The following is a 13,932-nucleotide window of genomic DNA, read 5'->3' as shown; positions in this document are numbered from 1 at the left end:
GCCCCTAAAGGACCTGGCACCATCTCCTCAGGGCCCTGGCCTGCCTCCTTGCACTGACTCACTTGGTCTTTAAGAATAACAACAAAAGTGCCTTATCTTGTTGAATCCCACAACTCTGGCAGGGTGGTTGTGTGCCATCCTGTTTTCCAGGGAAGTGCCTTGCTCAGGGTCACAGCCAGTGAGTCTGCCTGACTCCAGACCCTGCTCCTCCCCAGCCAGATCTGTGTGCCCTTGTGGGTGGGGCCAGTGGGCACCCAGTGCACAGAGATGGGATGAGGAAGGGAAGGAGGGTGGTCAGGGGGCCCAGGTGTTGGGGGACCTGACGCCTTACCCTGAGCAGGTTCCAGATCTCTTGGCCGCAAGGCTCTGTCCCTCCCCACCCCTTCCCCACTGCATGCACTACCTGGAATGTGTTGGTCACTGCCACTGTGGCATGGCTGCCCCCAGCCTGCTTGTCCTGGGTGCTGAGGGTACTTGTCCCACAGTGGCTGGGAGCCCCCCACCCAATGCCTGTGGACCAGACCAGTTTTGTCACCACCAGTGGGGGCTTAGGAGGCGTTGCTCCTGGGTGCTGGCTAAGCTGCTCCCAGGCTTACCTTAGAGCCTGCTGCTTTCCCCCAAAAGCCTACTGACGACACAGCCCCCGTCTGCCCTTCCCGCTCTTTCCAGCCTGTTGGATGGCTCCTGTTCTCTCAAATCTCACTCTTACCCCCAGGAGGCTCCCTGCAGGCAGAGTGGATGAAAATATCCTGCCCCTTGGTCTCTGAGGCCCTGGCCCACCTGGGGCCTTACAGAGCAGGACAAGGAGGCTCCACTCCAGCTCTGTCCCTGCCTCACTATGTGACCCTGGGCAGGCTGCTTGCCCTCTCTGGGCCTCTGACCTCATCTGGAAAGTTCCTGGTTATGCTGCGACACACAGGGGACTGGGAGTGGGAGGAGTGGTGTCTGCCAGGCACAGCAGCTCCAGGCATGCTGGCTCATTCACATGGCCCCATCCTGCCGATCACTCACCCATTCATTCACTCAGCCCACCATGGTCACTGGACATCTAGTCCACGTCCTGACACACGCCAGGCCTGTGGGCTACGCCTGTAAATGGACCAGGCCCGCCCTGCCTGCATGGAGCTACCGCCCAGAGAAGGGACACAGTAAATAAGACCTGGTGGCACCTGCCAGAGCGGCTCCTGGATACAGCTGGGAAGAGAACGGGGTGGGGCAGTGGGCGCCCCTTCCTGCACACACCCCTCTCTCCTCAGCCGCTCTGGGGCCTGAGGCCCTCTCTCCTGGTCCTCCTGGCCTCCCACGATCCCACAACGTTCCAACTCCTGCCCAGCCCTGCCTGGAAGGCTCACCCTGCCACACTCTTGCCCATGCTGGCTCCTCTGCCGGGAGTGCCCTTCTTCCCCTTCACCTCAGACCTCACAGCCCAGCCTGTGCCTCTTTCCTGACTCCCCCAGGCAAATGGGCCCCCTCATAGAGCTCCCGCATGGCGCGTGGCGAGTCCTCGCTGTGACAGACACAGTGCCGGCCCCTCTGTTGTCACCAGCTGCCCGGAAGTCCTGCCTTTGCTTTCTAGCATCCCTGAGGGGCCTGGCCTGACAAGGTACAAATCACCATTTTTAAAATTGTGGTAAGATAGACAGAAAACTTCCTTTTTTAAAGCTGAACACTGTTGCGTTGTGCAGATCGACCACATGTTTGCCTTTTTTAATTACACACATTTCAGCGGCAGTAAGTGCATTCACAGTGCCGTGCAGCCAACACAGCATCCATCTCCAGAACTTCACTTTCCCAAACAGGGCTCTGTGCTCTGTAAGCGCAGACTCCCATCTTGCATCCCCAGCCCCTGGCACCCACCATTCTGCTCTCTGTCCCTGTGAATATGACTGCCCTGGGGATGTCATGTGAGTGGAATCAGACAGCATTTGTCCTTTCCTGACTGGCTTACTTCACTTAGCCTCATGTCCTCAAGGTTCATCCCTGCTGCGGCAATGGGCAGAACTTCCTTTTTAAAGCTGAACACTGTTCCATTGTGCGGATGGACCACATTTTGTTTGTCCATTCACCCATTGATGGACACTGGGTTGTTTCTGCCTTTTGGCTGTTGTGAATAGTGCTGCTGTGAACATGGGTGTGCAAATACCTCTCCGAGTCCCTGGTTCCATTTCTGTTGGGTGTATACTCAGAAGTGGGATTGCTGGGTCAGATTGTGATTGGATGCTGACTGTTTTGAAGAGCCGCCATACTGTTTTCCACAGCAGCTGCACTGCTTTACCTTCCCTCCACCACTGCACAAAGGTCCTGGTTTCTCCACATCTTCGCCATCACTCATTACTTTCTGTTTTTCTTTAATAATAGCCATCCTAATGGTGTGAAGTGGTATCTTGTGTTTTTAAATTTCCCCCTCTTGAATAAAAGTGTGAGTGATGAAGTTTAGCTTACAAAAGGGATGGTTACGTCTTTGTTGTTTTTCAAATATAGTCATATAACTGAGAGATTATTCATCCACATGGTACAAAAAAAGGCTGCACATATTGTCTATTTGGTTCCCTTGCTTCTTGTTCTTCTGCCCAGAGGCCACGGCTGTGTCCAGTTCCTTTGGGTCCTTGGTGAATTTCTGTGCATTTATATGTGTGCTTCATCATTGAAGTGCTCCCTCAGCAAGCTGGTGACACAGAGCAGTTTAGTTTTCCCACCACTGTTTTGTGGTTTCTGGATTTGAGCCAATGAAACGCTCAACTTGGGGGATGTGTGACCAGCCGGCCCCTGCAGGAGGTGGTGGTCTCCTTCCATGGGAAGCCCTGGCCAGCTGCTTGCAGTGGGGCCTCCATGAAGGAAGCCAAGCCCTGTGTGTCTTCCCCAGGCAGGAGAAGGGAGGCTGGTGGGACTGGGCCTGAACATTCCAAGATGAACACCCCCACACATCTCCAGGAAGCCTATGCGTCAAGCCTTCATCATTGTCACCTTAGCTGGCTCTCCGTCCAGGTCAGTCCTGGGCACAGTTATCAGCATCTCTTTGACAGTGGGCCCCAGATTCAGGCAGAGCTGCCAGAGGGCATGTGGGAGCAGGGCCAGCCTAGGTTGTGCAGGACAGGCCCCCACACCAAGAATCCACACAGATATTTATGGGCATGAAAATCTGCGAGCAACTATCCGAGTCTGGTCCTCACTCCTCTTGACATCTAAACCACAAAATGCATTTTGTATGATTTGAATATGCATTGAGTTTTCCAGGAATGCAACTGCTCTCGCAGTCGAGGGAAGATCAGACTCTGATATGTTCGGAGCTCAGCCAAGAGCTGCCACCATTCAGAGCACCACATCACCAAGGACAGCATCTCTCATGGTGCCAGAGTGCCCAGTGAACTCCAGCATCCATCTGGGTTTGTGGTCGCTGTCACACGACCAGGCAGGTGACTATAGGGTAGGCCCACCCACGATTAACATGACAAATTACCGTTTATTTTATTCTAAATTATTTTCCTCTTTTTTTTTCTCTGTAATTTTACCATTCAGCCATTCTCTTGGTTCTGTTTTAAATATGTGTGTGGATGGATCACATGAGTCATCAGCTTCATTTGAGAAGAGAGAAGAGGATAGTGCAAAGCTCTGGATTTAAGGAGCGGGGTGCTGGACAAGGGATCTTTGTGGTAATGGAGCTATTGTGTATTTTGACTGTGGTGGCACTTGTATGTGCCTGTATGTGTGTGCATGCGTGTGTTTAGTTCTATGCAGGCGTATCATGTATGCAGGCTCCACGGTACAAGCAAAATCGGAAAGCTACCTAAGATGGGAGGACAGTGCAGTGTCAGAATCCTGGTAGTGATGGATCCTATAGTTTTGTAAGATGTTACCATTGGGGGAAACGATGTATATAAGATCTCTCTGTATTGTTTTTTGTTTTTTTTTTTTTTACAACTGCAAATGAATCTACGATTATCTCAAAATAAAAAGTTTAATTTTTAAAAGGTGAGGGTGGGTATCAGGTCTGACAGGCTGAGATCCCTGGTAATTGAGGACAGCAGACAGCCAGTGACCTCCCAGTCTCAGTTCCTTGGTGGTGCACCATGGTCACCAACCTCTACTGCCCTCCACTCCCTGACACCTGAGACACCTTGGGCCCTTCTCTCCAAGGCTGCATCCCACCAGGGGCACTGGGGCCGGCCCCTCACCCCAGAAAGGAAACACAAGTCCCTTTTGCTGCCAGCTGGGGCCTGGCTGGCCCCCAGGGGTTCTGAGTTTCAGACCCTGCTCTGCCAGCAGGCAGTGGTTTCAGCTGGCTGATGGAGCAGAGGTCTTATCCATTGTCCCCCAATGCCTCCCAGAACCGGGGCCCCAGCCCCAGCCCAGGCCTCTTCTCAGGTGGGCCTTCCTGCTCCCCTGGGCTTGCAGAACAGCCCTGCTGACGGCCACTCCTGCCCTCCTCTGCCCTGTGCCCGCAGCATTCCTGATGACACAGTCACCATGCTTGTCTGTGCCTCCTGCCACCACAGTGGGCAGCTGGGACAGAGACAAATAACATTCCATCAAATGCCATTTTGAAGACAAAAATGGACCAGTCAACTAAAGCTAAAAGGTTAAGGGAAGGAAGCAAGTACTTTTTATGACTTTGTCATTCTACAAATTGACTGTTCTATGAATTAGCTTTCAGTGAATTGACTTGTCACTGGTTGAAGGAAAGCTGGGACATGGCTGGTGAGGTTGTGGGCAGGACTAGGGCAGTGAACAGGGCAGTGGGGAAGCCAGGCTGGGCGTGGTGTCGGCTCTCTGAGGGGCCAGGCTTTGCCCACTAGACTGCCCAGCCCAGGAGTCCCGGCTCTCCCTCCCCTGTGCATCCCATTTCCTGAGCATGAGCTTGGGATATCAGGGCTCTGAGGAGCTGGGGCTGCGCCAGAGATGCCCGTCCCCCTTTATATCCCATGGCGTGACCTTGCCACACTGGCCCGACCTCCGAAGGATGAAGGTCCTGTCAGAGCAACCCCTGTGGCTCAGCAGGCGGCTGACCTGAGCGTGGCTAATAGAAAAATGTTTTATTGGCACCGATGGCTTCATCCCTCATCAAGATGTCCCTGACATCTGCTTGGCATGGTTACTAAGGGAAGTGATGCATCTTAAATCACCAGGGCCCTGGCTGAAATTCACTGCCTGTATCTTAAGGCTCTCATTGGCCCCACGATAACACCGAGCGTTTTCCTCCCATTTGCTCTCCACCATCAGATAAAAGAGAAATGCCCTCAAGTCTCTCCAACCCCCTTCCTTGTTCGGGTGTCTGTCCCCTGGCCATCTCTGGGCTGCAGAGAGGTCAGGCCACCTCAGAGGAGCTCTCCAAGACCAGGTGAGCTCAGCAGATGTGGGGTCCAAGATCTGGGGGTAATCAAGACCTTTCTCTGTGCCTCCCCTGCCAGGACCCCACCCCTCTCCAAGGAGCTGCTCAGATGGAACTCCTTATGTGCTGCCCAGTGTCTGTGTGACTTGGGGCAGAAGACAACCTCTCTGAACCTATTTCCTTTTCTGTAAAATGAGGCTAATAATTCCAGCTTTGCAGGGTGGCCATCAGGACAGAATGAGGTAATAAGGCCTGTGGTATCTCTGTGACCTATAGAGATTATTCCTGTCCCCTTCCTCCCCTGGATTCTCACGGCACAGGGCTGGGCTTCAGGACGTGCTAGGACTTAAGAAATGTGAACATCTGGGAAGGGAAGGGAAGGGAAGGGAAGCTGGGCTGTAATGGTGTATCCATCAGGAGCCTTTGGGTGGCAAACGGCAGAAACTCAAGTCAAAGGGATTTCCGTGATTACTGTCAGTGAATAGCCCACGATCTGGCTTCAGTGTGGCTGGCTCCAGGGGCTCCAATGCTCCTGTGGCCATGTCCTGTTCACCTTTCCCCAGGACACGTTCCTGTGTGGAGGCTTCAGCCCCCTCAGCAGCCTCAGTCCCCCTGGTCAGCCCTGGGACTCATGGCCATTCCTGAAACCATCTCCATCCCCAAGAGGAGCCATGTGCTGACTGGCCAGCCTCTTTGTCACTTGGCCACACCTGTAGCTGGAGCATGAGGTCAGCCCCCCGAACCACTGGGCTGGGAATTAGGGGAATTCAAATGTGTGTGTTTGTTGGGACGGGGGTAAACCAAGTCTAGAAACAGGCCACAGGCTTTGCTTGGAGTTAGAGGAGAGCCTGGCAGTTTGGGGCAAGTCTGGACGGAGCTGGCAGCCTCAGTAGTGTGCAGAGGCCCAGGGCAGCCAGATCCCTGGCTTAGGCACCAGGGAGGCCAGCCCAGCACCCCCACCGGACGGCTGGCCCCTGGCATCAGCACAGGGCCTGGAGTCATGGGCTCGGTATGTTAGGGGCTCTGTGGACCTTGGTGGGGGCTGGGGACTGCATGTGCTAGGTAAGTCCTGGGACCCCTGATGTTCAGGATCCAGCTGCACCACTGGGCTGGCACATCCCCCTCTTGCTTTGCCAACTGGGACCTATAAACGAACACTTATTCTTACCATTTTATCTTTCCTCTTTTCCTAGTGATAGATATTTTTTAAAACTGCCTAGGGCATTGTATGTTACATGAGAAAACTCATCATTTATTCCAGATCAACCTGAAATCCTTTTTACCAGCATCTCAAGGAGGGGAAACCCTTCCTGGCTGCTCTGAGCCTCCCTGGGGAGGAACGATGAAGAGAGGCAGTCATGCCCATGCTGCCGGCTCTGTCCCCATGTCCCCATCTATAATATGGGTCATTCCCAGCCTCGTGGGCCAGAACCGAGGGGTAGGAACTGCACAGGGGGTTCCTGAGCAAGAGCAACTTCTCAGGGAGGGCCAGGCCACGCGTGGCCTGGGATTCTGTGGCTGGAATTAATGTCACCCTTGTGTATGTGTATTGGTTTACTGAGTGCTCACGTAGGAGGTAATGGGAAAAGACCTTGGGAACTACCCTGGAGGCAGTGCAGGGCTCGGAGCCCGTATGCAGAGGAAACTGGGGTCCATGAGGGACATAGCTCCTCTCAAGGCTCCCCCCTGGGCTGAGGTGGGATTTAGACTCTGGATATCAGGCCTGGGGCCTGGGCGTAGCCCTGTGTTCCCTCTGCTGAGTCTTGGTTCTCTGGGTGCCCCTCTCAGGAGCAAGGGTGCCTGTCTTCACGGCAGCCGCCTCCTCCAAGAGCTTCCGGCTGATGAGTCTCCCGGTCCTGGAGCCCCGCCGGGGGCAGGGCTGATGCTGCTGGCCAGACATACCGGCCCCCACCCTGCCCCAGCAGCTGTGGCTTTGCCTCTGTCCTGTCCTTGTTCCTTAGATGTGCCCTAGGCCCGTCATCCAGCCTTGGGCAGGTGGCCCCCTTGCAGGAAGCCCAGGTCCAGACAGCATGAGTCCAGAGAGGGAGGGGACTTTTTCCAGGGCTACCCCGCCCATCGGTGGAAAGCCAGGGCATGGAGTCAGGCCCTGAGACTGCAGGAGCTGGTCACCCCTCTTCCTACAACTGCATCTGCCTCCGCTGACTTCAAACCCGGATCCAGCCGTAAGGTCCCGGGCCCCACCGCAGGAGCCTGTTCACTGCAGGACTCAGCCATTGCCTGCCCTCTTCAGCCTTCCTACTCCCACCGTCACTCCCTTCCTTTCAGCCACATCTGCCTCCTCTTTGCATCCCAACATGCACAGACCATTTCCACCTCCCCGCCTTACTCTCCCATGGTGCTGACTGGCCACAAAGATGGCCCTTACCTGCTATGTGACTGCAGACAACCCCTTTACCTCTCTGAGCCCCAGCTTGTTCCTCTGCGAGGTGGGAGAGACAACAACCCCTGCCCCCAAGGATGTTTGGAAGGACAGAGGTCATATACCGGGCACACAGTGGCACTCAGCACATCGTAGTGGCACTCAGCACAGTCGTTCCCGCTGCCTGGATGCCATCCCCAAGCCGGCGCCTCATCCCTTTTGAGGCCAGTGCTGAGCACGTCACCAATCCAGCATGTAGCACCCCACAGCAACCCTGAGCATACCCAATCCTCTCATCAGACTGTGGCCTCTGAGGGCAGGCCATGCCTGTCGAGTTCACCGCTGCTCCAAAGTCATCCCTGGACCAACAGAGTGACCAGAGACCCACACTGTCTCCTTTAGCCTGAAGTCTGTTGTTTCTCTTTTCCTTCCCTCCTTCCTTCCTTCTTTCATTTTTTAGAGATAGGGTCTTGCTCTGTCACCCAGGCTGGAGTGTAGTGGCCCAATCTCAGCTCACTGGAGCCTTGAACTCCTGGGCTCGGGTGATCCTCCCACCTCAGCCTCCCAAGTAGTTGGACTACAGGCACCCACCACCACACTGGCTAATTTTTTTTATTTTTTTGTAGAGACTGGATTTTGCCATGTTGTCCGGGCTGGTCTTGAACTCCTAGGGTTCCTCCTGCCTCAGCCTCCTGAAGTGCTGGGATTCCAGGCATGAGCCCCCATGCTGCCTCTCTCACATCACCCAGAGGGCACCCCGTGCCAGGCCTGTGCTGTGTGGTCAGGGGGTGATAGGAAAAGCCGGAGGTGGTCTGATGGGGAGGCCGAGGCAGCTGCTGGAGCAGAGGTGCCCAGGGTGCCCACAGAGACTCAGCCCAAGACTGGGAGGGAACAGGGGAGAACAGGGCATCAAAGGCATAGTAGACCATAGTGCCTAGGGGTCTGGCCTGGGGGTCTGATGGGTGGCAGCGCCATTGCCGAGATGGGCCCCTGGGGTGGGGCCTGCTGGTGTAAGGAGAGCCCTATGGGACACCCAGGGAGGAGCCTGGGAGCATTGAGCTCCTTGTGTCTGGAGGTCGGGGGTGGAAGGAGGTCAGACTCAGGACAGTGACCTTGGTGTCACCAAAGGGTGGAGGGAGCCCAGGAAGAGATGGCTACCGCAGGAGAGGATGTGTCAGAGGCTGGCACCATCCCCACTCTCATGCCCTGGTGAGGGCACTACCCCCCCATCCACCTCCTGCACCCAGAGCTCAGCCCACCCACCTGGCTGAGGGCAGCGCTGTCCGCCGCTGGCCAAAGCTACCAGGCACCCCGTGGGCCGAGGGCACCCAAGGCCTGCCGCCCTGCTGCAGCTCTCTGCCAGGAAAATGCTCTGTGTCCCAAGTGGAGACAGATGCATGGGGAACACTGTGTGTCGTGACAGCATCTTGCGCCCCTAAAATAGAAGCCCCCACACTCAGACCGAGCTTTCCAGCTCCTTCCTCTCATGCATGGCGAGGGATGGGAGGCAGGTTGGGCTCTCTGTTTATCCAGAAACCAGCACACCCTTGTACCCACAGGCTGGGGGTGGGTTCTCCTTCCAGGGCCCCACTAAGGCTTCAGGTCCCCTGCAGCTGCCCTCCAGGTCCTCCCCTGGATGGTGCTGACTGGCCACAAAGACAGCCCTCACCTGCTGTGTGACTTCAGACAACTCCTTTACCTCTCTGAACCCCAGCTTGCTCCTGTGTGAGGTGGGAAAGATAACAACCCCTGCCCCCAAGGATGTTTGGAAGGACAGAGGTCATATACCAGGCACACAGTGGCACTCAGCACATCATGGCCCTAGCCTTTATTGGCCTCTCCTAACCTTCATGCCCCTGTGGGGTTTGTATGGAAGTGCCCAGCCCAGTGTCTGGCCCACAGGGGTTTGAAAATTATTTTTTCCTTTTCTTTTTTTTGAGACAGAGTCTCCCTCTGTCGCCCAGGCTGGAGTGCAGTGGCGCCATCTCGGCTCACTGCAACCTCCGCCCACCAGGTTCAAGCAATTCTCATACCTCAGCCTCCTGAGTTGCTGGGATTACAGGCACCTGCCACCACGCCCGGCTGTTTTTTGTATTTTTAGTTGAGACAGGGTTTCACCATGTTGGCCAGGCTGGTCTTGAACTCCTGACCTCAAGTGATCTGCCTGCCTTGGCCTCCCAAAGTATGGGGATTATAGGTGTGAGCCACTGTGCCAGGCCTGAAAATGTTTTTTCTTAATGAGAAGGATGTGTGAGTTAAGCCTGAGCTGTTTTGTCACCTGCTGTCTGGGTTCCTGGCCCTGAGCTGCAGGGAGCCTGGGGGCAGATTTTCCTTTCATGTAGTTGCTGAGTGCAGGCATGGGGTGGGGGAGTGGGTAAGGAGAGCCCTAAAACAGCAGGGAGTTTTCCAGACTCAGGCAGGCTGAGCTCCTGGGCAGGGCAGTTTGGCAGGATGGAGGAGCATTGGAGGCCAGCTCTGGGACAATCATCTCACTGTGCCCAGTGGTAGGGCCCCCAGGCTGGCAGGCGGGATGTCTGGGGCCCCATCCTAGCCTAATCCTTGCTCATTGTGTGACCCTGTGCCAGGTGCTTCTCCTGTCTGTGCTCGGCCACCTAAGACCAGGGCTGGGGACAGTGGGGTGTTCCCCGCCACTCACTGGAAGAGCCCGTGTGCATGTGCCTGCTTGCACATGTTGTGCATGTAGTGTCTGCATGTGTATGGTGCTAAGGGTGTGTCTTGTGTGTGTGCTTGTCTGGCCGTGTGAGGGCAGCATGGTTCTGAGTGTGTGTTGTGGGTTGAGGGGCTGTCCTGTAGACCCTCCATTGGGCATGGAAAAGTCTACAGGGCCAAGATTGGCCTGGGGCCTCCACTGCACCCAGCAGGTATACGCTGTGTCCCCCACCACTGTTTTAGGTCAGGGGCTCAGGTCTGGGAGGGCAGCTGTGAAGCAGAGGCCACCTCCATCCCCTGGCTGTGTCTTCAGTCCACACGGGGAGCTGTGCCTGAGACCGAATGGCCAGAGAGTGAGTTCAAGAGTGTGGTGCTTGGGGAAGGCAGGAGCACATTGCAGTCAGGATAAGGCCTCTGTGTAAGGAACTAGAGACCAGGGGAACGTGTATGCATTGCAGGCACATAGATACCGCCCGTCTCTGTGTGCATATGTGTCCGCTTATGTTCACATAAAGAAATCCTATAAGGGGGCCCAAAAGATGGGGCTCTGTGTAAGGAATAAGAGACAAGGGGAACATGTATGCGTTACAGGTATGCATTGTGTGCCTGGGAGCCTGGTGGATATGGAACATTTAGGAGGGAGACCTTCTGCTTGACAACTTCTGTATTTTAGTTTTGAACCATGAGTATACATTAGCGATTTTAAAATGAAATTTTTAAAATATGTAAGTTGCTAGGTGAATTGGGTTGCTTTCTGAATATCCTAAGGACTTCCAGTGGAAGGACACCCTCAGGGAAAACTCGCCTCAGCAAATCCTCCATCCTGAGGTTGGGAGGGCTCAGAATGTTCTTCCTGGTTGGAGATCAGCCGCCTGAGCTGACTATGGGTGGTGCGGGACGTTACAGCAGGGAGCAGGGGACAGAGCCCACAGGCTCAGGTCAGGAGCTGAGTGGATACGTGTATCTGCTGAGGAGGCTTGGGGAGGTCTCCACCTTTCTGAGCCTTAGTTTCCTCATATGTAAAATGGGAATAAGAAACCTAAGCTTCCCAGGCCGGCTTGAGGATTAAATGAGATCCTGTCAGCACCTGAAGGGTCTGACATCTGAAGGAGGGGAGGCTGAAAACCCAGGAAGGACCCCCCAGAAAGGCCAGGTGGACTCTAGAGGGTTTGCTGGAAGCTGTATTTGCCCTGTAGATGGGGTGGTGCCAGATGGTTCTTTCAGGGCCAGGACATGAGGTTGGGAGGGCTGAACTCCAAGGATTGCAGGTACACCCCTCCCCCAAGCCTGTACTGGACTAAGGCTTCTCTCTACTTCTTGCCTATCAGTGAATTGGGCCTAGAATGAACAGGACTTGGCAGCAGTCCTGGACTCAGGACCACAGGACACCGACACACAGGCTTGGTCAGGCTCCGGGCCACATGGTGAGGCCTTGATCCCACCCAGGCAAGCCCAGGAGAAGTTGGACATGGCCTGACCCGAGACACTCATGACTCGTGCTGCTGTCTTAAGAAGAGAGTCCTTGGTGGAGCCTTTGGGGGTCACAGAAGAAGCTGGAATGGTGGTGGGGGGGACATCTCGGTGGTGCTACTTGGCAGGTGTGGTGGGCCAGGTGGGCCTCTCTATGCAAGCCAGGCCTTCACTCCTGCAGTAGATGCCTGGCCTGCCCCACCCCGGGCCTGGACCCTGCACCCCAGGGCCCCTCCGCCAGGATGTTCCGAGGTCACTCTGCAAGTTTTGTCCTTGCTGGCCCCTTGCACAGCATGTACTCCCTCTGTGACCTTGGCCCAGTGATCGCCTCTTCCTTGAGGCAGCTCTGGACCGGGTTAGTGGGGGCAGCCCCCTGCTTCGCCACTCTACCCATCCACTATCTCCTGGTATTACTTTCTGGATCACTTGAGGTTACCTTGTTTGTGTATTTTGCCTGTGCCCCTGCTCTACACGGGTGGTGAAGGCATCTGTCTGATTCACTCTTTGAGTTATGCCTCTGATCATGGCTAGGTGCCTCCGTTTTCACATCTGTAAAGTGGGGAGGAGAATATCTCCTGTCACAGGGTGGTTGAGCGTGAAATGAATTAGTGCTAAGCTCTTAGACCTGGAATTGGGGGCTGCATGGAGACTAGATTGGATGAAGCATCATTTCAAAGTGGCCTGAGACTCCCCCTGCCAGAGTTAATAACCACTTCTCTAGACCAACTCCTCATGACACTGATGGGGAAACTGAGGCCCAGACAAGTCTCACCCCAGGGCTTCCGCCTCGCTACCCTGGGCTCTCTGTCCAGGAAGACCTCACTGAGACCCCCATCTGCCCCCAGAGGAGGGAGTGTTCCAGACACAGGCGGGCTGAGCTCCTGGGCAGGGCAGTTTGGCAGGATGGAGGGGTGTGCAGGCCAACCCCGGGACAATCGCCGCACTGTGCCCAGTGGTGGGGCCCCAAGCCCGCAGGCAGGGCGGTCTGTGGCCCAGAGCCAGGACAGGAAGGCCGGCGGTGGGTGGACAGGAGCCTTCTGTGGCCTTCTGAGGGCTTGGGAGGCCTGGGCAGGACAGGCGGGCGTCAGCCAGTGTAGCAGCCCCTCAGGCCAGTTTATGAGGTGCCTCCAGCCGTCAGCTTCTGGGAGCCTCGCTGTAACCTCTGATCAGCCCCGTTTTACAAATGAGGAAACTGAGGCTCAGGCGGGGTCATGTGGCTTCTGAGGCCCAACAGGGTCCGTCTGACCCGAGTGCCCTGCCGTGGCTCCTGGGGTCCCACCGTGTGACACTGGCAAACAGCCTCCCCCCTCGGGGATCATGGAATGAGACCACAAGGTGACACGGTGGCTTTCCTGGGCTCAAGTCCAGAGGCCACCTCTTCACTTCTCTGCGCCTCAGCCTCAGGAGGCCCAGGGAGGAGGGCTGACTGCATCCCGTCCCTGAGCTCAAGGGGCACAGTAAGCCTGGGGGACCTGGCATCGCTGTTAGGCTCCCTTCTTGCTGGCAACGTGACGGGGTGGAGGGAGGCCAGGAATGCAGACCCAGCGTGCTCTTGTTCACTTCATCTGTGACACAGTTCATAGCTCGGCTGTGGACACCAATGGCTGACACGTAAACTGCAGGGCCAGGGCCTGGCGTGTGGGGGACAGGGTAGAAGGGTGCCCACTGCTTCCTCCCTTGCCCTCGCTTCTGCCCCAAACAGAGAAACTTCTGGAGCCCTAAGAATGGTCCAACACTCACAGTCAACTGCTGGTAGGAGTGTGTTGTTGGTCCCATCTCTGGGTGGACATCCGGGTGTACCCATAGCCCAAAAAACATCCCTCCTGTGCCCCAGCCATGCCGGGAATTGGTCCTAAAGGAGAGACTGTGGCTGTGCATAGAAACCCTATTGAAGCCACTGCCTTGTTTACCAGGGCCAACGAGAGAGACAGCCAAGCTCAACACCCACCGTGGGCAGGGGAACGCCTGCCAGGCTCCACCAGCTTTCCATGGGGCGAGGGGAGGAATGCTTCCAGACCGAGAAACACACTCGAGAGACGGTGCGAAGTGGGGGAAAGTGTTTCGCAGAGTGGAGCGTATTTTTGTG

At 55.7% G+C, this 13,932-nt stretch overlaps 1 protein-coding gene across 12 annotated transcripts in view, besides 2 other annotated features; it reads left to right on the top strand.

The window, feature by feature from the left end:
• Positions 1-13,932, top strand: part of IQSEC1 (IQ motif and Sec7 domain ArfGEF 1) — a 386,215-nt gene that overhangs the window by 215,342 nt on the left and 156,941 nt on the right. The gene's annotated exons all lie outside the window — the stretch shown is intronic.
• Positions 9,872-10,379: an enhancer, noted in NCBI's record as "H3K4me1 hESC enhancer chr3:13099037-13099544 (GRCh37/hg19 assembly coordinates)". NCBI's record gives its function as "activates a minimal SCP1, AML or CMV promoter by ChIP-STARR-seq in primed H9 embryonic stem cells {active_cell/tissue: H9 hESC(primed)}" and the evidence as "EXISTENCE:reporter gene assay evidence [ECO:0000049][PMID:30033119]".
• Positions 10,380-10,888: an enhancer, noted in NCBI's record as "H3K4me1 hESC enhancer chr3:13098528-13099036 (GRCh37/hg19 assembly coordinates)". NCBI's record gives its function as "activates a minimal SCP1, AML or CMV promoter by ChIP-STARR-seq in primed H9 embryonic stem cells {active_cell/tissue: H9 hESC(primed)}" and the evidence as "EXISTENCE:reporter gene assay evidence [ECO:0000049][PMID:30033119]".

Source organism: Homo sapiens, chromosome 3 (genome assembly GCF_000001405.40).
Source record: "Homo sapiens chromosome 3, GRCh38.p14 Primary Assembly".
In the NCBI taxonomy this organism is placed as follows: Eukaryota; Metazoa; Chordata; class Mammalia; order Primates; family Hominidae; genus Homo; species Homo sapiens.
This window is presented reverse-complemented; position numbering and strand designations above follow the sequence as displayed.